This window comes from Homo sapiens, chromosome 1, assembly GCF_000001405.40.
Source record: "Homo sapiens chromosome 1, GRCh38.p14 Primary Assembly".
In the NCBI taxonomy this organism is placed as follows: Eukaryota; Metazoa; Chordata; class Mammalia; order Primates; family Hominidae; genus Homo; species Homo sapiens.
In genome coordinates, this window is record NC_000001.11 from 7,001,503 (window position 1) to 7,022,362 (window position 20,860).

At 50.7% G+C, this 20,860-nt stretch overlaps 1 protein-coding gene and 1 long non-coding RNA gene across 26 annotated transcripts in view; one reads left to right on the forward strand and one right to left on the reverse strand.

The window, feature by feature from the left end:
- CAMTA1 (calmodulin binding transcription activator 1) overlaps positions 1–20,860 on the forward strand; it is a 984,253-nt gene that overhangs the window by 216,049 nt on the left and 747,344 nt on the right. The gene's annotated exons all lie outside the window — the stretch shown is intronic.
- On the reverse strand, positions 6,874–12,777 carry CAMTA1-AS3 (CAMTA1 antisense RNA 3). The gene is made up of 2 exons (NR_182292.1): positions 12,749–12,777; positions 6,874–7,193 (listed from the first exon to the last, which is right to left on the reverse strand). It is a non-coding gene; the product is annotated as a CAMTA1 antisense RNA 3 (long non-coding RNA).

The following is a 20,860-nucleotide window of genomic DNA, read 5'->3' on the forward strand; positions in this document are numbered from 1 at the left end:
TCAGTCCTGCTTCTGTCCCCTGGAACCACAGAGAATTCCATGAATTCATCTCATCCATGAGGGCGTTTCTGATATTGACGACAGCCAGTGTGGTCTCCCTAGGATGTCTCCAACAAGCACATGTCCCGGATTTCACGTCTTCTTCAAAGGATGCTGGTCTTCACCACCTTTGTCATCCTTTTGGGAGTGAGCCCTTGTTTACAGCACTGATTTTATATGTGGTAATGACAACTAAACACTGCATCACCAACGTGGCTTCTGATCAGAGCAGAGAGGAACGGCTGTGCCACCTTCCTTCTTCTTGACATTATCCTTGATTAATGCAACCAAGCTAATGCCTTCTGCGTTTGCACTTAATTACAACCCTTTTTCTTTCTTTCTTCTTCTTCTTCTTCTTTTTTTTTTTTTTTTTGAGACGGATTCTCCCTCTGTCGCCCAGGCTGGAGTGCAATGGCGCTATCTCAGCTCACTGCAACCTCCGCCTCCCAGGTTCAAGCAATTCTCCTGCCTCAGCATCCTGAGTAGCTGAGATTACAGGCGCCTACCACCACGCCTGGATAAATTTTTGTATTTTTAGTAGAGATGGGGTTTCACCATGTTGGTCAGGCTGGTCTCGAACTCCAGACCTTGTGATCCACCTGCCTCAGCCTCTCAAGTGCTGAGATTACAAGTGTTAGCCACCGCACCCGGACTAAAACCCTTTTCCAAATAGATTCTCCCCTGTTCTGTACCCCAATCAGGAGTAAAAACCCCATGTTTTGAACCGAGGTGCAGTGTCCTATACTTGCCCCCAGCACTGTGGGATACGGGAGTCAGGAGACCCACCTGCATTACAGACTGGTGATGGTGATCACATAAAACAGCGCAGTGGGAAAGTGCTTTGAAAGCCATGAAGAAGTCTAAGGCTGCCTATTATTGCTGTGTAGCTGGTTTATTCTATCATAAACCCATTGAGGTCTGTTTAAATTGTGTGTTGGCCCACCAGAATATCAGCATCCTTCTCAGTGTTGTTATTCACGGGGTCTAATAAGAATACTTTCTATGACTTCATTTAAGCCATTGATAGAAATGACCGACAAGACAGGGCTGAGGGCAAAGGCCGTGGCACATACTTGTGGGGTGACTTGGATCTATCATATCGCTCCATCCTTTGCTAGTTCAGTTACTCAACCGACAGTGCATCTCCTTGATTGTACTACCATCTAGCCCATGTGCCTTCATCAAATTTACAGGGATAACATGATGGCCTTTGCTGGCTGCCTTGCTGAAATCCAGAGGCACTGCCGTCTATGGAAATGCAGGTTCTATCAAAAGAGGGAACGTGCCGGTTTGCCATGACTCACTCTTGACGATGCTGAACAGGCTCCTGGAGGCCACAGCTTCTCCCTAAGCGCTCCCCAAACCTGTAATGGCCAGCATTTCAGCACAGAGGACAGCGCAAAGAAGCCATGAGGACTCCTTGAAGGAACATGGTAAAGAGCATGGTAAATTGCTGTGCTCGGACTCAGGGTTTCTGAACCTTGGCACTATTCACATTCTGGTCTGGGCAATTCTTTATTTTAAGACTTGTCCTGTGCATTGCAGGGTGTTTAGCTGCATGCCTGGCCTGTGCGCACCAGATGCCAGGAGCACCCCTTGCTCAGTTGTGACAACAAGAAATGTTTCTAGGCATTGCCAATCTGGGGGCAAAATTGCCCCTGGTTGCAAACCACTGGTCTAACTAAAGGAGAAGGGGCCAGAAATATTTAGAACAGTGATACCTGCCCCACCACCACTACCGCAGTTTCTGGGTGTGCCTTCAGAATAACATAGATTTGTTATATCTGAATTGCATTTTGCAGAGGTTAGTATGGAAATGGATTTGTATGCTTTGATTCTGCTCTGTCAATGTAGAGTAATGTGGCCCAGAATCATGTTTGGTGGCAGCAGGGGTGCCAGGCAGGGAATGATCCCTGTAGCATAGATGGCTATGTTAGTAGATGGTCCACGTGAGAACACGTGGAATTCGACACGTCGGCTTAGGGAGGTGCTGATGGAATCCCAGCACTTACCAGTACATGCCTAGAGCGAGGGAGCTCCTGGACTTTATTATTATGGTCTGGAGCAGCAAAACTAAAAAAGATAATCTCTCCTGGGTGTCTGGTTTTAAGGAATCACTCATGCAGGTAGGTTGGTGATCATGGGAGGCCACAGAGGTACTTTGTTCAGAAGTTATTGTTTCCATTAGAAAGAGTAATGATTTTCATATACCAGCAAGAAAAAACCCATGTTATCATAGGCCAGGGATGAGAATAACAGGAAATCTCCAAGTTTACGGAAGTATCTGGTTTATGCCCTAGGAGGTAATAGGAGTTGTGAGAGGTGGGTCAAGGCCTGCCAACACATGTCAGACAAGAGATTATTCATCATTGTTATTTTTGTTTTGAAAATTAACTCCCCGAAAGGGTCAGGTTGTGCTGTGCCTCTCGAAGGTGTAATTCCACTTTAAACTGTAAGCTGTTCTGAGATGATTTCAGCACAAGAACGCGTTTGGTTATGGAACATGATTTCCCCAGCTTTCCTTGAAATAAAAAATTGCCCAACATGCTTAGGAAATGGGAATTATGGTGGACACAATATTATTTTCTAGGTGGATCACCTTATAAACGAAAGTTCCGTCATCCAGTTAATGGTGAAAAATTGTCTATTTGAAGAGAGAATAATTGCCAAGGAGCAGGGAGGCCAGTGTTATTGTTTTTTCTTTTCTTTTTTTTCCCTCAAAAACAGGGCTTTGATATCCATTGCATTTCAATTGCATTTAGACTTTTGCATGAGGCAGCTAGGATCCCAGCCAAAGAACCTGGGTCTGGAACCTGAAAGTGGGTTATGAAGAGGAGGCAGCTGCTCTGGGTTGGCTTCTGGAAGGTTGAGCTGGGGCTTGGCCAATCAGCTGGGCAGAGCTCAGGTAGTCCCATTTTATTGCTAGAATGTTCTCATAATCCCACGGAGCCTTCAGAACTATGTGTTCTGCTTGCTTTTTTTCTTTCTAATTTCAAGTCTGTTTGTTGTGAAATAAAGCATATATACAAAAAAGTCTACTAAATGGAAATATGCCGATCCATGAATGAAAGTATGAAAACCACTTAATTCAAGATTATATCATGCCAGCACCTCAGAAGATCCCCTTCATCCTTATCCCCCATCCTCCTCAAAGACAACCACTATCCTGATTTCCAACATTATACTTTTTCAATTTTTTCAATGTTTCCTATTTTTAAATTGTATTTATTTATTTATTGATTTGGAGATGGAGTCTCTTTCTGTCACCCAGGCTAGAGTGCAATGGCACGATCTCAGCTCACTGTAACTTCTGCCTCCCAGGTTCAAACAATTCTCATGCCTCAGCCTCCTGAATAGCTGGGATTACAGGCACATGCCATCACACCCGGCTAATTTTTTTTTGTGTTTTTAGTAGAGACGGGGTTTCACTATGTTGGCCAGGCTGGTCTCAAACTCCTGACCTCAAGTGATCTGCCTGCCTTGGCCTTCCAAAGTGCTGGGATTACAGGTATGAACCACCATGTCCGGCCTCAAAGTTTTTTAGTTTGAAAAAGTTGTAAACCTACAGAGAAGCTGCAAGATGATTACAATGCCACCTGTCTACCCTTCACCTAGGTGGACCAACTGTGACTATTTGCCACATCTACTTGATCTCACCTGGGAAATTCTTAGCCACCCACCTTGGAAGCTGGCTTTTGGGCCATCAAGTGACACTCTGGCCGGTTTTCCAGACAGGCACTCCATTTGCTAAAATCCAGCTGGTTCTGAGTGGCCATGCAAAGACTCCTGGTAAAATGAGGAGGGCTACATCCCTTTGGAACCTCCCAGGAGTCCAGGTTCAGTTCTTTGGGAAAAATAGTTTATCAATCCATCTGTGAATTCATGTATTAATTTCTCCCCCTGCCTTTCCCTCCCTTCCTTCTGCCTTCTTTTTCTTCTTGCTTTTCCCTTTCAAGAAATACTTTCTGATCACTGTGGGCCTCTGTGGCAGGTGCTGAGGATGTGCTCGTGGGTGAGATGGGCCTGTCTTTGCCTTCACCATCTATCTTCTGGGTATGGGGGAAAGCTTGATTAATATCTAGGCAATGACAAAAAGTGGTACACAAGGAAGTATGGGATACAAAGGGAATACATAGGTATTTCCTACGTACGTAGGTATTCCCTCCAGTCTAGGATGGCTTGGGAAGGCTTCCTCGAGGGAGGGACCCCAGTCCAGAAGGACACAAAGAAGAGAAAAGGGGAAAAGTTGTTTCTGGCTAGAGCTACTTTGAGTCCTGTGTACTTGAGTACCAAATGGATGCGGCACTGAAACACATACAGCCATTTGCAGAATCCAAGTGGCTCAACAGGGTCTGGAGGGGTGGCCCCTCAGTGGAGGGATTGCTGCCCCAGATCTGGCTGTACGGAGTTGGTGTGGGATAGACCAGGGCAGGGTCTGTTGGCGGATTTTGGTGTTGGAAGAACAGAGAGGACAGGGAAGGTAGCATTGGGTGTGGAGCATTTGGAAGGATGGAGAAGCAGGGTGGGGTCTGTGCCAGTCACAGTGTCTCTGGGTTTAGCTAGATGTGGAGGAAAATGGGAAGGGCTTCGTAGACCTGCCCATAGTATTTGGGTTTGGAAATTTTCCAGATTTAATTCTAGTCTTTCCCTGGGCAATGGGATATCTTCAGATTCTCCCAACTCTATCCTTAAAATCCTGGATGGTAAGATCTGGTAGGCAGAGAGATTTTTAAGAATAGAGTTTACTTTTCCCCATTAAAAACTAATATATGCTTATTACGGAAAATTTATAAAGTACATAAAAGCAGAAAGAAGAAAATAAGAGGTGGTATTTTACTGGATTGTGGATTAGTCCTAGAAATTCTATGGAATGGTGGGTGGCCAGATTTATTCCATTCATTGTTTATTTGATGGGAAAAAAACCCAAGCAGCCCAACCCTGTACTGTTTTCAGAATCACCCCAAGGCCTGGGTTCAGAATATTAGCTTGTTAATTATCAGGAAAATGATAGAGCTGAGAAGAAATTCACCCATCTCTAAGGCCAGCTGGAGAACCCAGTTGAGGTGGGCTGAGATGGAAATGACCTTCTCCAAAGCACTGAGCCCCATGAATCATCCCTGGGGCACCTATTAGCTGTGAGCTCCATTCATCCTTCCCGGAGGACTGTCCCCACCTGACCGGTCACAGCTCACCCCAACCCAGAGCCTCTGAGGGCTGGAGCCTCTCTCCATCTGAGCCCTAAGCTTCCTTTTCCCCTTGTTCCCACACTAACATTCTATGATTTCCCCCTTAACCTCTTCATGACATCAACCAGTGGAGACCTTGTATGATTTCTAGAGTTCTTTTTTTCCCGGTTGGAGGACTTACTTATTTACTCTGGTTGACATTCTGCTTTCTTTCAGGAAGGATTTGTGAGAGCCTAGCACAAAATTCACTTTCTTAACAAGAATGTCAGATGGTAGTAAAAAAAAAAAAAAAAAATAAGAATTTTTGGATACGGTATTAATAATGTTACGGAATGGGCTTTCAGTTTGGCCACAGGTGTCCTGGTAGTCAGGGCCAAGGGGATGGATGATGGCTCGTGGTTGTTTGGTGGGCACCATGCTACCTCTGAGAAGAGAGGTGCTCTGCTGCTGGCTGCGGCAAGGAACTGATCACATAGGATCTCACGTGGGGAGCATCGACCAGGAGAGGGGTCCACATTGTCACAGCAGCTTGGAGCGTGGAAGCACACATATAATCATCACTTAACTAAAGCTGAGGCCAGATAGAGGAGACTTGGAAGTGAGGGACCCGAAAATGGGAACCCTTGCTAAGGACACAGGCAGCTGTACGCCAGAGCCTGTGGGCCACCCCGAGGAAGTGACCCCTATGAGCCAGCCTTGTGGGGCAACAGAATGTCACACCCAGGTCCTTCCCTCGCCTCGAGAACCCCAAGCGAATTCCCACTTCCCACAGGAAGTAGTTCAGACCCTTGGGATACCTGGCGTGGTCCTCCTGACCGGGGCTCAGTTTACCTCCTGCTTCAGCCCTTACTCGCCTCCTCCAATCCCAAACTCCTCCCATCCTCAGGTGACCTGGTGCTTGACCCAGACTGCCGAGGGGTGGCCGGGCCCTGTCAGTGCTGCGGAGGTGAGCTCCTTCTGAAAGGACCCCCTGTGGGGCTCCCGGGGCGTCGCTTCTGCCTCTTCCAGTGCTTTCCGACCCTGTGCTTTTCTACCGACTTCTGGGCCGGGTCATCCACTCCTCCAGAAGAGAGGCCAGGGAGCATTCCATCAGCCCCACCTCTCCAGAGGCCCGGCACACAGTAGGCACTCAATGGTTGTAAACTGTATCCACCTACAAAGCCCCTAGAGCTTGTGAGACCCGGGAAACAGCGTTCCATACAATTGAGTGACAGAGCCCTGCGTGGAAAGGGAGGCCCGTGTTGGTGCCCTGTCCTCATCCAGTGGGAGGGGAGGAGAGACCTGGAAGGAAGATGGGAGTCCCACCCCAGCCTGCGTGTTTCTCTGGGAAACAGGTTTCAAGTGCAGGGAGGTGGTGGAGGGCTGACTTCATGGCCAGCACTGTCCTGGGCACCGTGGGTCGTGGAAGGGAGGTGGAGCTCGGTTTTCCGTCTGGGCCTCAGGTGGACTCAGAGGAGGTTCTTAGAGAACCATACAGGGCATATCAGGTAAGCACGGGTACACAATGCAGAGAAACAGTGCTTGCTGCAATTAGAGAAAGCAGAGAAATAGGAGCTGGAGTGGTCACTAAAGGCACGAACGGCCTTGACGGTGGAGTGGGGAGAGGCAGACACATTGCCGGCACAAAGAGCATGCTGGATGACAGGTTTCGTGGCTTGTTTGTTGCTTTAATTGATGTGGACAGGGGATTCCAGGTAGGAGAATCCAGGCAGGCTAGGAAGGAGCTTGGCTCTGTGTGGGGCATGAGAAGACGTGCTGGTCTTAGCGGAAGGTCCCCAGAGGAGGGGAGGCTCAGGGGCCGGCAAGGTGGCTGAGCCTCGAGCACCCTCCACAGAGCACCGTGCCAGGGGCCTGGGGCGCATGTTGTAACCTGGCTGTCTACACTAGATGAATAGAACTTTCACAGGTTAGTGGCTTCATCTTGATTGTTTAAATTTCATAAGGCGTTGGGACCCCTTACGAGTAGCTCTGAAAGGGAATGGATTGCTAATAAATGCAAACTGTAAAATATTCATTTGAGATGATTATTTTATATTATTGCATAAGTGCAAAATGAATGAACTTTCTGCTTACTTATGGTGGAATCCACAACCATCTGAGCTATTTAGTGAATGAAATATTTAACCTAATTTCTATGCCTTAAGTGACCTAAGGATAAATGTTATGGTTTAATGTTTTAGTGTTAGAGAAGGAACTAAGGGAAATAAACAGACTTCGAGGCCTCCTGCTGGCTTCCAATGGGGAAGGAGCATCTCCTGGGCCAGGAGTCCTTGGGAGCCTCCAGCATCTTCCCGCCCCTCACGGAGGGTCAGCGGCCATGCCCAGCCATGCTGCCAGGACCTGGGGAGAGCAGTACCCTCAGCCCTCACTCTCAGGAGCTCAGGGCTGGGGAGGGGACAGCAGGGGCCTTGGCCATGTCCCTTCCCTTTCTGGGCCCCGTTTACTCCTCAGAACAAGGCAGGCTCGGACCAGGAACTCCTGGGGCTGTCAGCTCCAATGTGGCAGAGTTGTGAGTGCTGGAGGCTGCTGGGAGGTTTCTGGGGGGCTAGGACTAGGATGGCTGCCAGGACTTGAGGGTGGAGGCAGGGACAGAGATTCCCCAGAGGCGGCATCGTGGGTGGGAAGGCAGGAAACCCGGGTCTGTGTCCTCCTGGGGCAGTGTGGTTCCAGGACCCAGGTCCAGCTCAGTGGCCAAGGAAAGCCCTTGCCTGCCTGGGCCTCTCTGTGCTGCAGTGTCCCTGTCCGGCCCCCTCTTCACTTTTGCATCTGATGCATCTGCACTGCCAGGGCTGCCAGGCCTGTTTTGCTGCCAGGTGCCCTGTGTTGCCGTAGCCCTTGAAGAAGGACCACCGCAGCCTCAGAAAGGGGCAAGCATCACACTGCGGCATCACGGACACCTGCAGCTCCAGGAAGCTCGGGGGCGAGTGTGAGCCCTGCTGCTTCTGTCCCCCAGAGCCCCGGTCCGGGCTGCACTCCCAACCTTGCCTCCCAGCTTGACGTGCACTGCTGATGAGTTGGTCCGTGCAGAGCCTCTAAGGCAGCTTGGACATGGGGAGCTGTGGGTTTGGTCCTGCTTTGTGCCCAGGGCTCTGGGTTCAGGTAGCCAGTGCTGAGCCCTCTGTCACTGCAGCATGGGGCTGCTTTCCCTGCGGTCCTCGTGCTTGGGCTCTAGCTTGGTCCAAAAGGCTTTCCTCAGGGAGCTCCCCATTTGAGCTCTGGGCCTTGGCAGGGATTGGAGCACCATCCCTTGGAGGTGTTGGCGCTGTCCAGGTGCCGGCCAGTGTGGAAGGAGCTGGCTGCTGAGGATTTACCAGCCCCTTTTGGTTACCAGGCTCAGGCACTTGCCAGGGGTTGGTTGGTTTGTTTCTTCTGGATTTGGATTTGTCCCCAGGACAGACGTCCTTGGGTCTTACCAGGAACCATGGCCTGCAGGACACTGCTGCGAGGAGGGCTTCCTGGAGCTTGGGGAAGCTTCAGTCCAGAGAAGACAGAGGACTTGACTGAGCTCATGGTCAGGGAGTGTCAGAACGAGGACCAGGACCCCAGGGCCGGCTCCTGGGCCGCCCCCTCACTCGGCGTCCAGTGCTCAGGCCTCTGGGCTCTCTCTGGCCCTTGCTTGGTTGAGCTCAGCTGTGCTCAGTGACTTTGGGCCACGGGCTGTGGCGTCACATCCTCCAGAGCCTTCTCTGGTCACTCCCAGGTCATGTCAGTCCTGAGGATGCCAGGAGACGCTTTCTGAACACAGTCTGCGTCCTTCCTTATTTTTTGTTATCTTGGCTGTTTGACAAATAGACTTTGGAGGTGGAAAGACCTGAGTTCAAATCTCGGACCCACTACTGACCAGCTGGGTGACGTTTCATTATCCATAACATAGAGAAGATACTGAGAGTCCATGAGACACCACACAGAAGGCTCATAGCATGGGGCCTGGCACCGAATAGGTGCTGTTTACGTGATAGCTTGTATGGTTGGCTCTCCACACCCACCCTCACTGCCACCCCCAGCCCCAGCCTTCCTTTGTGCCCGTTTCTGAGTAGTAAGATTTCTTACTAACAGTTTCTTGTACTCAGCTTCCCCATCACCTTCCTTCCATTTCAGCAGAACCCTCTGGAGTGGAGCAAGCGATGGGAAATGCTCTTATCAGGCACCTGGGACCTAAGCAGGTGCCCTAACCAGCAGCAGCTGAGCACTGAGCCCTGGGAACACCTGTGCCCAGGTGCAGGTGCTGGTGAGGGTGGCTGCCGCTGTCCAGCCCTGATCTCTGGGGCAAATGAATGTTCCAACCCCAAACATCCCCACAGCGGTCCCGACAGACGCCTACTGGTTTGGCAAGCACTGTCGTGCGTGGGAGCTCTGCTTACTGGCTTCTGTCTTGGCATGGTCTCTGCAGAAGGAAGCCACTGCAGACTTGGTGGCTGGTCTTCGCATTGGGTTGAAGGGTGATTCAGTGTTCCAGTTTGGATTGTAACTGCTTTATTTTTTAATTGTTTTTTTGAGACAGAGTCTCGCTCTTTTCGCCGAGACTGGAGGGCAATGCTGTGATCTCGGCTCACTGCAACCTCTGCCTCTTGGGTTCAAATGATGCTGGGATTACATGCATGAGCTACTGTGCCCTGCCTGGATTGTAACTACTTTAAAAAACCCTTCCAATGCTCCTCAGTGCCCCTAGAATAAGCTTCTAGACCCTCAGCCCTGCCGGCATGCCCATTCCCATCTTTCTAGCGCCCTCTGAGACCCTTCGCCCTCCTATCCACTCTGAAGATGCGGAGGACCTACCTTGACCTTCCCCCCATGCCATGAACATGGCGGGGGGGCCCTCTCCTCATTCCAGACCCAGCTCTGGCATCACTCTTCTAGAGGTGGTCCCAGAGCATCCGTGTCAAAAATCCCCGTCCCAGTTCCCAGCTTCATCCCTGTCTACTTCCTTCATGACGTTTATCACAGTTTCTAGCTATTTTATTATTTGTTCCTTTCCTTTTTGGTCCACGTCCCCCACTACAGTGTAACCTCTACAAGGCGAGAAACTCTGCCCACCTGTCACTGGTGTGTCCGCAGTGCCAGCTCAGAGGCTGGCAGGCAGAGCCGCTCATTAATATATGCTGGCTGTGACCTTGCCATTCCCAGTAGTTCCGATACCTCCAAATTCCGAGATTACAAACATCCCACTCTTCAAATACCACATCCAACATGTCTCTCCGCCCCACTCCTCCAATTTCCCCTGATGCCCCTGAGACTACAAGCCCCCAGTGCTCAGGGGGCCCCTTCCCAATCCTCAGACTTTCTGGCCCTGTCTCAGTTCATCATGCTCACTGGGGGAAACCACAATGCTGGGGAAACCCAGCCCTTGCCTTGCCCCTTGTCCATACCTGTGCAGCCGGAGAGACACCTGCGGGTGTGCTGATGTCACGGTTCAAGTTTTTAACCTCATGTGGGCCCATGATACTGCCCGGTCAGGTGCTGGTGGTCCCCGTCCACGCTTCCCATTCTCCAAGGTGACTCTTAAGTACCTTCACCCTCTCTCAAGCCCCCAACACTCCTCCCGCCCTCTCTCTTAGCTGTTGACCTTGCCAGGTAGAGATAATTGAAGGAGAACTTCCTCCAGCTCCTCCTGCCAGATCTGCCACTTTCTTTCTGGTCCCTGTGAGGCCCTGGCTCTGTCCACTGCTGCTCTTGGTCCTGCCTCCTGGGTTTCTGGCACCGGTCTTTCTCTCCTCCCTGGATCTTCCCGTCAGCATACAAACATGCCACGATTTCTCCCATCTTAAAGACCCTCTCTAGACCTCTCCCTCCTCCAAGCCAGGCCCCCTCCTCTCTTTCTCATTTGCAGGCAGACTCTTGGAGAGCCGTCCACAGGGCTGAGTGCTGTGGGCGCTTCTCAGTCCTCGCCCTTGCCTGTCGGCAGCCTGTGACGTGGCTGATTGCCCCTCTCTGTGACGCACTTCCTTCCCTTCGTGCCACCTCACACTGGCTTCCTTTCCTCTCACCACTGGGGCTGCCCTTTCTCTTCCTCAGTTTCCCCCCACTCTGAATTCTGTCTTGCTCCTGGGCTCTGTCCTTGGATTCCCTGTCTGCCACTTGTGTGCAGACTCACATCTCTAAATGTAGCTTCCCGCCATGTGCCTGCGGGCTGGACTTCCCGTCTGAGCTCCCAACTCACCGTCCAGCTGCTTCTCGGGAACCTCCACTTGTCTCGGGTATAGAACCTGAGTGTCTGTAATCTCTCCCCACATCTGATCTGGCTGCTGCTTCCCAGTAATGCCAACTTCATCCTGCTAGTGTCTTGGGCCAAAAGCCTTGGGATCATCCCTGAGTCCCCTCTCTCGTCTCCACACGTCCAGACCTTCAACAAACCCTGTGGCCGTGACTTCAAAACACACTCGTCCCTCATTGCCTTGTGCCGCACCTCCTCCGTGCCAGCACTTCTCGCTGGGGAAGTTGCAGACCCTTCTACCATTCTCCAGGCCCTGCCTTTGCCCTTCTTCTTTTTTTTTTTTTTTTTTTTTTTGAGATAGAGTCTCGCCAGCCTGTTGCTCAGGCTGGAGTGCAGTGGCACGGTGTTATCTCACTGCAACCTCTGCCTCCCAGGTTCGAGATTCTCATGCCTTAGCCTCCTGAGTAGGGATTACAGAAGTGTACCACCATGCCCGGCTAATTTTTGTATTTTTAGTACAGATGGGGTTTCGCCATGTTGACCAGGCTGGTCTTGAACTCCTGGTCTCAAGTGATCCACCCACTTCAGTCTCTCAAAGTGCTGGGATTACAGGCGTGAGCCACCACACCTGGCCCCTTTGTCCTTCTTGAGTCTTTTCTCAACCCGGAAGCCAGAGCCATTCTGCTAAGATCAGGCCTGGCCGTCCTCAGTGCTTAGGTAAGCAGAGTGTGGCTCAGCTGTGCACTGTTCCTGGCTGCAGGTGGCAGAGGTGGAGTCAGGGATGGAGCCAGGAGTTGAACTTTGGAGTGCTGGACTCACCGCCCCCCTGGTGTGGACAAGCCCCTCTGTGATCTGCTGGTTCTACATTGTGTTCTTGGTGAGGAGGGCAAGGATACTTTTGCAATTCTCAACTTCTGGGAGCTGGCGGAACTTCCCTTCCTGTCTTGCCTCCACTCCTCAAGGCCTCAAACTATCCCATAATGCTCGGCTTCCTTGTGACTCCTCTTCTTCAACCCCAACGACAAGCAGCCAGCTGAGAGCCTCCTCCAAAGTCAGAGACAAGGAGCTTGGCAGTGGACCTGCTGCCAGAGGCAAGGCCGTGATCTTGGAACATGGAAGCCCAGCACATTTGCTTGTCCTAAAAATACAGTTCTTAAAATAGACCAGTCCATGTGGGAGATAGGGAACCTGTCGAGTGCGGTTCTGAAGGGCTTGCTCTGCCAAGGGGACCGGCTGGCTGGGGCAGCGCCTGGGCAGGGCTGTGTGCCTCAGAGGGTGCCCTCAGCCGTGGCAGAAGCCACAGCCTGGGTTTGGGGTACCCTGTCTGGCTCTTGTTCTTCAAACCCCATCCAGAGGCAGGCCGGTCTCTTACCTGCTCGATGTCTGCACATAGGGAAACCTGAGTTGAAGCCGAGCCTTGGGTTAGGCCCTGCAAAAGCTGCAAACAACAGTTTGTGTTTGGGGTGTGAGGCTATAAACAGCCCAGGAGTCCTGAGGGGGTTGGAGAGTTGGTCAACCGTGAACAAGCTGGAGACTGGCTCCTTCTTCCTGGGGATCCCAGCGCCCACTACAAAGGTGAACTCCTTTTTGCTCCCTGCCCCAGCCTGCCCCATTAGACAGGGCATGGTGAGGCGAATGGCTGCAGGGACTGAGGCCTTTCTGTAACTAAAGCCCAGCCCAAGTATAGGGAGCAATGGCCGAGCTTCTGTTTTAAGGCAGCAAAACAGCGTGCGAGCTTGGTCCCTTAACACGGAGTCTGGAATTGTTTCTCATAACCCAACGCTTGGCTTGGTTTCAAAAAGGAAGCCTCTCCTCTCGGGTATCATGACCAGGCTCCTCGTAAGAGGTGGGACTCAGCCGAGGGGGCCAGTCTAGAGGTTACACATTCTGAGCTACCTTTCGGGGTCTGTGGACCCTCTCAGACCCTGCAGCATGTCGGGGGCCGGGTGGGGGAGCGGGTGGTGGCATCAGTGGGTTTCTGATGAATGCCTGGAGTTGTTTGTATAATTGGGGCTCTGTGTGTCTTTTTTTGGAGGAAGAGCTTCTTTCACATTCCCTGACTCAAAAACCACAAGCTAAATGATCTGTACATTGTCCTCCAACTCTGAGAGCCTCTGATCCTATTATTCCAAGTCAAGAAATTTTGAAAATTACAGGATAGAATTCTTTCTCAGAACAGATGCTAGGGATTTGTAAGTTTCCATTCCCTGTGCTGCCCTGGTTTGCTGGATGGACGGATGTCTTGGAATTTTCAAGACCTCCAGTCCTCAAAGAGGTTCTTCTCACCTGCTGTCCTGGTGAGCTGCATGGGCCTCCCTCCATGGTGACTGTGTTGTTGGACCGAGTGGGATCAGTTGAGTGGGAGGCGCTAATGACCGGATTTCCTACGTTGTCCCCTGCTCCCCTGACTCTATTCCTCACTGAGCCAGACAGACTCACCGCTTCCAGTGTCTGTGGCATGTTCCCACTGTCCACCCTCACGGTTCACATTTTCTGGAATGTTCTGCTCTTCCCCCTGTCCAGGTCCTGTGTGTCTTCAGGGTCTGGTCAGATGTCTTCCGGTGAGGCTGCAGCTAAACTTAGCCTGCCCAGCCTGCCTCTCCTCTGAATGCACATAGTGTTGACATTTTTTTCAGTTTAAAAAATTTTATTTTAAAAATGATCTTACAGTTAAATTGACGTTTTTGGGGCTGTGCCGTTCCATGACTTTTAACCCATGTTAGCACTGCCACAAGTAAGGGACAGGGCAGCTCCACCACATCCTGCAGTGTATTCGTCTGTTTTCGCATTGCTATAAAGAACTACCTGAGACTGGGCAATTTATATAGAAAAAAGGTTTAATTGGCTCACATTTCTGCAGGCTGTACAGGAAGCGTGGCTGGGGAGGCCTCAGGAAACTTAGGATCGTGGCGGAAGGCAAAGGGGAAGCAGGCATGTCCTGCATGGCTGAGGAGGCCTCAGGAAACTTACAATCATGGCAGAAGGCGAAGGGGAAGCAGGCATGTCCTGCATGGCTGGAGCAGGAGGAAGAGGGTGAAGGGACAGGTGCTGCACACCTTCAAACAGCCGGATCTCCTGAGAACTCACTATCATGAGAACAGCAAGAGGGAATCCTCCCCTATGATTCAGTCACCTCCCCCAGGCTCTTCCTCCAACATTGGGGATTACAGTTTGACATGAGATTTGGGTGGGACACAGAGCCAAACCATGTCATGCAGCCACACCCTGCCCCATCCTAACCCCCCGAAATCACTCATCTCTGCTCTGCCACCATGGGTTGGTCTTTTTGAGAATGTCAGATGCAGGCTGGCTTCTTTCCCTCAGCCTGACACCCGTGAGAGCCGTCTGAGTTGGTGTATGTGTCAACAGTTGGTTCCTTTCAGTGGCTGGGTACGCGTCCTGTCTTATCCACATGTTCTCTTGGTGAATTTTGCCTCATTGTGTGCATGTCCTATGTCACTAGATGCAGGGAGGCAAGGGCAGCATGTGGTTCATTTTTATAACCTTTCAAATGCTCTGCAAACAGTAGGTGCTCAGCTGTCGAATGGGTGAATGAATGGACCACAATGGGTAACAGGAAGGGGAAATTAATTTTACAGAATTTTGTATTTCCTATATCCTAAAAAATCTCCAGTAAACATAACCCTTAATTTCCTGAATTAAAAATGATTCATGCTGGGCGTGGTGGCTCATGCCTGTAATCCCAGCACTTGGGGAAGCCAAGGCAGGTAGATCACTTGAGGTCAGGGATTCAAGACCAGCCTGGCTAACATGGGGAAACCCCATCTCTACCAACAATACAAAAAATTAGCCTTGCGTGGTGGCAGACACCTGTAATCCCAGCTACATGGGAGGCTGAGACAGGAGAATCACTTGAACCCAGGAGGTTGGAGGTTGCAGTGAGCTGAGATTGCACCACTGCACTCCAGCCTGAGTGACAGAGCGAGCCTGTCTCAAAAGAAGAAAAAAAAAAGGAAAAGAAAAAAAAGATTCATTGCCTCTCTGTATTCTGTTAGTAGCCGAGACAGGAGAAAAAGCAATCAAGGTAACCTAATAACAGGGATTTCCTTCTCCAGACTCCCTCCCTGCCTACTCACCTTTCTGTCTCTTTTTCTGGTAAGTATTTCCCTGGCCATGTCCTGGGACCTGTACACAGGTGCCCACTTCTTACACCCCACCACTGGGAGTCTTCGACAGCTCTCACACAGAAGAGGAATACTGTGGTCCTGGAAGTTGCTAGGTAGGCCCCGAGTCCCAGTTGTTTCATTTCTCAGGACCTCCTGGTGCTACAGAAGAATGAAACAGGCCCCAGACTGGAAGTTGCCACACATGCCTTGTGATGCTGGCTCTGATGGGCCTTGCTGTGTGATCTTGCTTAAGTTGCTTCCCCTTTCTGGTCTTTATTTTCATTACCTTATTTTGTACCCATTGATTAAAAGATGAATCTGAAAGAGATGGTTTCTGTAGTCTCTTCAAGCTCTGAAACAATATGATTTTGTGAACTCACATACTCATACAGACATAAACACAAGGAGGATTTGCTAATGAACTTCTTCGTTCTTTGCTAAATATAAATGCCTTGCTTGTGACCACAGAGGTTCAGGTGCTCCGTCAGCGAGTATTTAAGTACCTACTATGTGTAGGTTTCAAACTTGAGGCTTTAAGTGTTTGTAGGAAATGGAAACACTGTCTGATGTCTTTCTAGTCTTTAAATGAGGAGTGGAGAGGTAAGGAAGAGGTGCGTGTTATCATGGCCCTGTCTCATTTGTATGCATCAGTCCTCTTTTTCTTCTGCTTCCTTTCCTGGGATCGCCACATTCTTGTTGGTGTCTTACAGACAAACCTGTTCAGGACTGAATGACCAAGTGCCCCAGAAACATGGGTTGGTGTGGGTGGTGCCCAAGCCTGACCCCTGCCTGTTTTCTCATACACGGTTCACGTTGCCCCCAGCAGAAGTGGAGAGTAAGGGGCTCACTGGCTATTTCTCCAAAATGCGTTGGTTGGTGTGGAATTGGGTACAACCTGGTACTTTCTGTGAGTGTTGAGGGCCTGCTCCTCCAGGCCATGGGCCATGCCTTCCAAGGTTTTTTGTTTTTTTTTTTCTGAGACATGGTTTCACTGTCACCCAGGCTGTAGCACAGTGGTGCGATCTTGGCTCGCTGCAGCCTTGACCTCCAAGGGCTCAAGCCATCCTCCCGCCTCAGCCTCCTGGGTACCTGGGACCACAGGTGTGCGGCACCACGCCTGGCTAATGCCAGGGCTTTTTAACAGATGGTCTCAGGAGTCTCCTTTGTGGAGGTTCAGGTCACTCTGGGGATGGATGGAGCGGGGGCTTAGGACTCCTCTCTCGACTCCTGGGTCAGAAAGTGACTCCATCAAACAGGCATTTTTATGGTCTCAAATGGGTTTAACAAGAAAGAAGTCATGGAGGCAGTGAATGAAGACACAGATAGTGAGGGACACGGACCTACTGGTGGCTCGCAGTGCTTATGATGTAGGGGTTGAATGTCTTTTGTCTCCAGCAGGCTTGCCTTGAGGAGAGACACCATTTTGCCATCATCTTTACCCCCAGAAAGAACAGGTGGGGAGATTTGTGTAGGACTCTTTTTCCCCATATGGAGAACTCTATGGCCATTTTACAAACATTCCCCATCCTTCCAAATCCTCTCTCCCGCTTCTCCTTGCCAAGTTTACACTGCCAATTATACTAGACTAGCAACAAGGAGCTTGGAGAGAAGGGCTGCTTTTAGAGATGCCATTCCAAGTGCCAACAAGGTGTTCTCGATAACCGGAATCAGCACCGCTCTCCTTCCTGTCATGTAGCCCTGGTAACCACAGAGCATGTTTATGCTCGGGGAGTCTATTTCCCGTTGTTGGGGTCGGAACCATTCCTGGAGTCATTTCTTGGTTTTAATGCTCATCCTTTCCCTTTCCAGCCATTAAAGCTTCTGGCCTAGAAAAGCCTGTCTGGCTAGCCTGACCTGGTGCTCCGTTTCTGTTATCTCTGATCAGCAGCGGGGAGGGCACTGTGGACAGAAACATGTTAGAGAAGGCCCGTCTGCAGAGGGGCCCGAAGAGACCCGAGGACACCCTCCTGGCTGCAGGGTGCCTGTTCCTTCCCTGGTTCTGTGCACCTCCATCCTGGCAAGAGGGCCTTGGTGGGCGGGGTGGATGCCCGCATGCCTTTGGTGCTACCATGACAAGGTGGCCCTGGCCCGGGAGTGGAGCGGTGCCTGGGTTCCGCGAAATGCCTCAGAGCCATGACTTTCTGCTTCTCACAGCTTCTTTAACTCAGTCTCTTAGTCTTCCCCTGAACTCGCGGACACTCGGGTTCTCTGACCAGCATGTTAAGGGTTGGGCTGGGCAGCCTCTGCAAAGGTCTTCTTTACTGTCAACTTGAACAGTTTCCATAAGGTTGTGTCGGGGACACCTAGAAATAGGTTCCTTTGAACAACAGTATGCTCGTTGACTACCAAGACCTTCCAAAAGAGTGAGAGATTGGGTTGGGGATGGGATTTCAGGCTGTGTGTGTAAATTCAGCATGATCCTCCATGTGGAGAGGAGACACACTGGTGAGGGCAGCTCCTGGTGGTGGGGCAGGGGTCACAAAGCTCTGAAATGAACAGTGAAGTCGTGGAGGGGCCCTTTAGCAGAACCCAGGATTGGGGCACCAGCGACCCTTTCCTTCCCAGGGGGAAAGTGGTTCACTGCCAGAAATGCTTTAGAATCGTTAGAGGACAGGAGATCAGCTACACAGATGATGAAACTGAAAGCCAGGGTCTGTTTGTTCTGCTGCTGAGCAAACTTGGTAAAAATGTTCATCGAGATGGAAAACAAGAACACAGACACACTGTGAGCCTTTTGACCTTTGCCTTTGACCCGGAAATGTGACTGTTTCCTGGAGAAAGTGAGTTCACCTGTGTCCCTGTGCCTGTGCCTGCCACAGCCCCGCCCAGCTCCCCGGCACCTGCTCCGACTCCAGCTCTCATGGAAGCAGTGTTTTGCGATGAAGTCTTGGAAGCCAACAGCTCTCCTTTCTCCTCTTTCCCATGTGTGGTGTTTGTGATTCCAGAAATAAGTTGGGCTCCACCCTCAGAGTGGCAAGCATTGATGGTTTCTCATTCAGGGGCTCACTGGGGATTGCCTGAAGCCAATGCTGGCATGGCTGGGCTGCCTGTTTCTCCAGGAGGGCCGTGATGGCACATTTGTGTCAATATTACCTGCAGAAGAACTTTCCATCTTTTATAACAGGCAATTCTGTTCAGGAGTATGAATTGGAGCCAATTAGGGCTAAAAGTAGATTCCAAAATATATACAGTTATATGGCATATTACGATGTTTTGGTCAACAACTGATTGCATATACCACAGTGGTCCCATAAGATGCTAACGCTATATTTTTACTATATCTTTTCTATGTTTAGATATGTTTAGATACACACATACTTACCATGTGTAACAGTTGCCTACAGTATTCAGTATAGCAACATGCTGCACAGGTTTGTAGCCCAGGAGCCATAGGCTGGATGAGTCTAGCCTGGGAGGGTAGGAGGCTATCCCCTCTAGGTTTGTGTAAGTATGCACTTTGTGTAAGTACACTATGATGTTCACACAATGACAAGATCGCCTAATGACACATTTCTCAGAATGTGTCCTTGTCATTATGGGACGCAGGACTGTATAGGCAACAAACAGATAAATTGACAAATGATTTCTGACCACCCCCTACTGTAGGCTGAGGGCTCATGCCCCTCTGAGGGCTCCTGTAGGAGGCTCTCCTGCCTCTGATTCAGTGCTGGGGGCAGAGGGGGCTGCAAATTGTGGGCTTAGCCTTGAGCTGCGATATGGGGCAAGATGATGACATGGGGAAGGACCATGATCAGAGACAGAGCTGGAGAGGGACCAGGGCTGACCCCAATGCCACAGGAAGTGGCTGGAGTTGTTCTACCCTGGAGGGACCGGAGCTGGGGCTTACTCTCACCAGGGTGTTGTACAGAGGCAGGTGATCCCCTGATTGTCCCCACTGGGCCACCAGGCAGCCCTCACCTGTCCTTGGGCTAGAAGAGCACTTCTTCTCCATCCCAGGCTTAGGCAGTGCTTGTGCATCCTGCAGGGGTGTGGGCCACCCCGGCCTCGGTGCACCCTGCTTTTGACCATTCTTCGTGCTGGAGGCGAGGAGTGAGTCTGGGGACCTGCCCGGGGGCTCCATGGCTGACACAGCTGGCCATACAACTGCAGGTGTCAGAGATGTTTTGAGAAACTCCCTTCAGGGCAATCAAGCCCTTGCCAAGTGGAATCACTCTGCATTTACATGGGTGGCTTCTGAACGTGGCCGTGATGAATTGTGCTCCGGCAGGGCCTCGGCAGTGAAAAATGGGGCGGTGCGATGGAGTAGGAAGGTGCGGGGTCTCTGCTGGGCTGGAGCCTGCACCTGAACCGGGAGTCTGGAGCCACTGGAAACAGTGGGTGCCTCCACCAGCCCCGGGGGAATGCACAGATGTGCCCTCATCGCTCAGCTTCTCTCTTTGTCTGTCTGCTCCCTTCATGTGCATCGTCTTTTTCTGATTTTCCCTCTGTCTCTCCAGGCTGAAATGCAGCATCAAACACACGCTCTCCTGCTTTCTTGCTTTGTCTCTCTTACACTTCTCTTCCCTTCTTTCTTATTCGATTTTTAAATTATAATCAAAACCACTGGACAGTGAGCACGGGCAGGAGGGACATTGGATGAGGGTGGATGTGTCACTGTCTTGATTGCGGTGACAGTTTCCCAGGCATGCGCATGTGTCAAAACTTAGTGTTGCACACCTCAAATATGTGCAGTTCCTTGTGTGTCAGCTGTACCTTAATAAAGCTATATTTAAAATCCCCCACTCATTTTGAGTAGGAAAGCAATGAGAAGATGTTTTTGAATATTTAACTTTTAGAAAAGCCTGTATTCTGCTTCCCTGTAAAGTAGAGGGAGACAGAGACCCAGCAGGGGGCATTTCTTTCTGGGGTTTGAGCACTGGAAGATCATTATTAACAGTGCAACAGCCACCGCCGTTCAGTGAGTGGTTTATTCGGTAGGACAAGCCTATGCAACAGCCCTTGCATTTGTCCCAGAGACTCAGGGAGGGTAAGCAAAGTGACCTGCCCAAGGCCACGCAGCTGGTCAGGGGCAAAGCTCTGCTTCCCAGCAGGTCTCCCGAGCGTGACTCCCCTCCAGTACTAGTTGTGGGATGGGACAGATGCACCTGGGAGTGGCTGGCAGAGAGTGTGTTGGCAATTGTTTAGCACTTACCCTTGAGATTTAGTTTGAGATTGAAGAAAAGATGGTCTCTGCTTCTCTGGCTCACAGGCAGTCACCCCCTTCCTTTCCTCCCTCAGCCACTTATGCATTCCCAGCAGGGTACCTTTGATGCTGGGGGAAGGACTCTTTATGATCCCTTCCCTCCAGACTTTGGCTGGCTGGCTGTTGAGGTGAGTGGAAAGGCCACAGGATGACT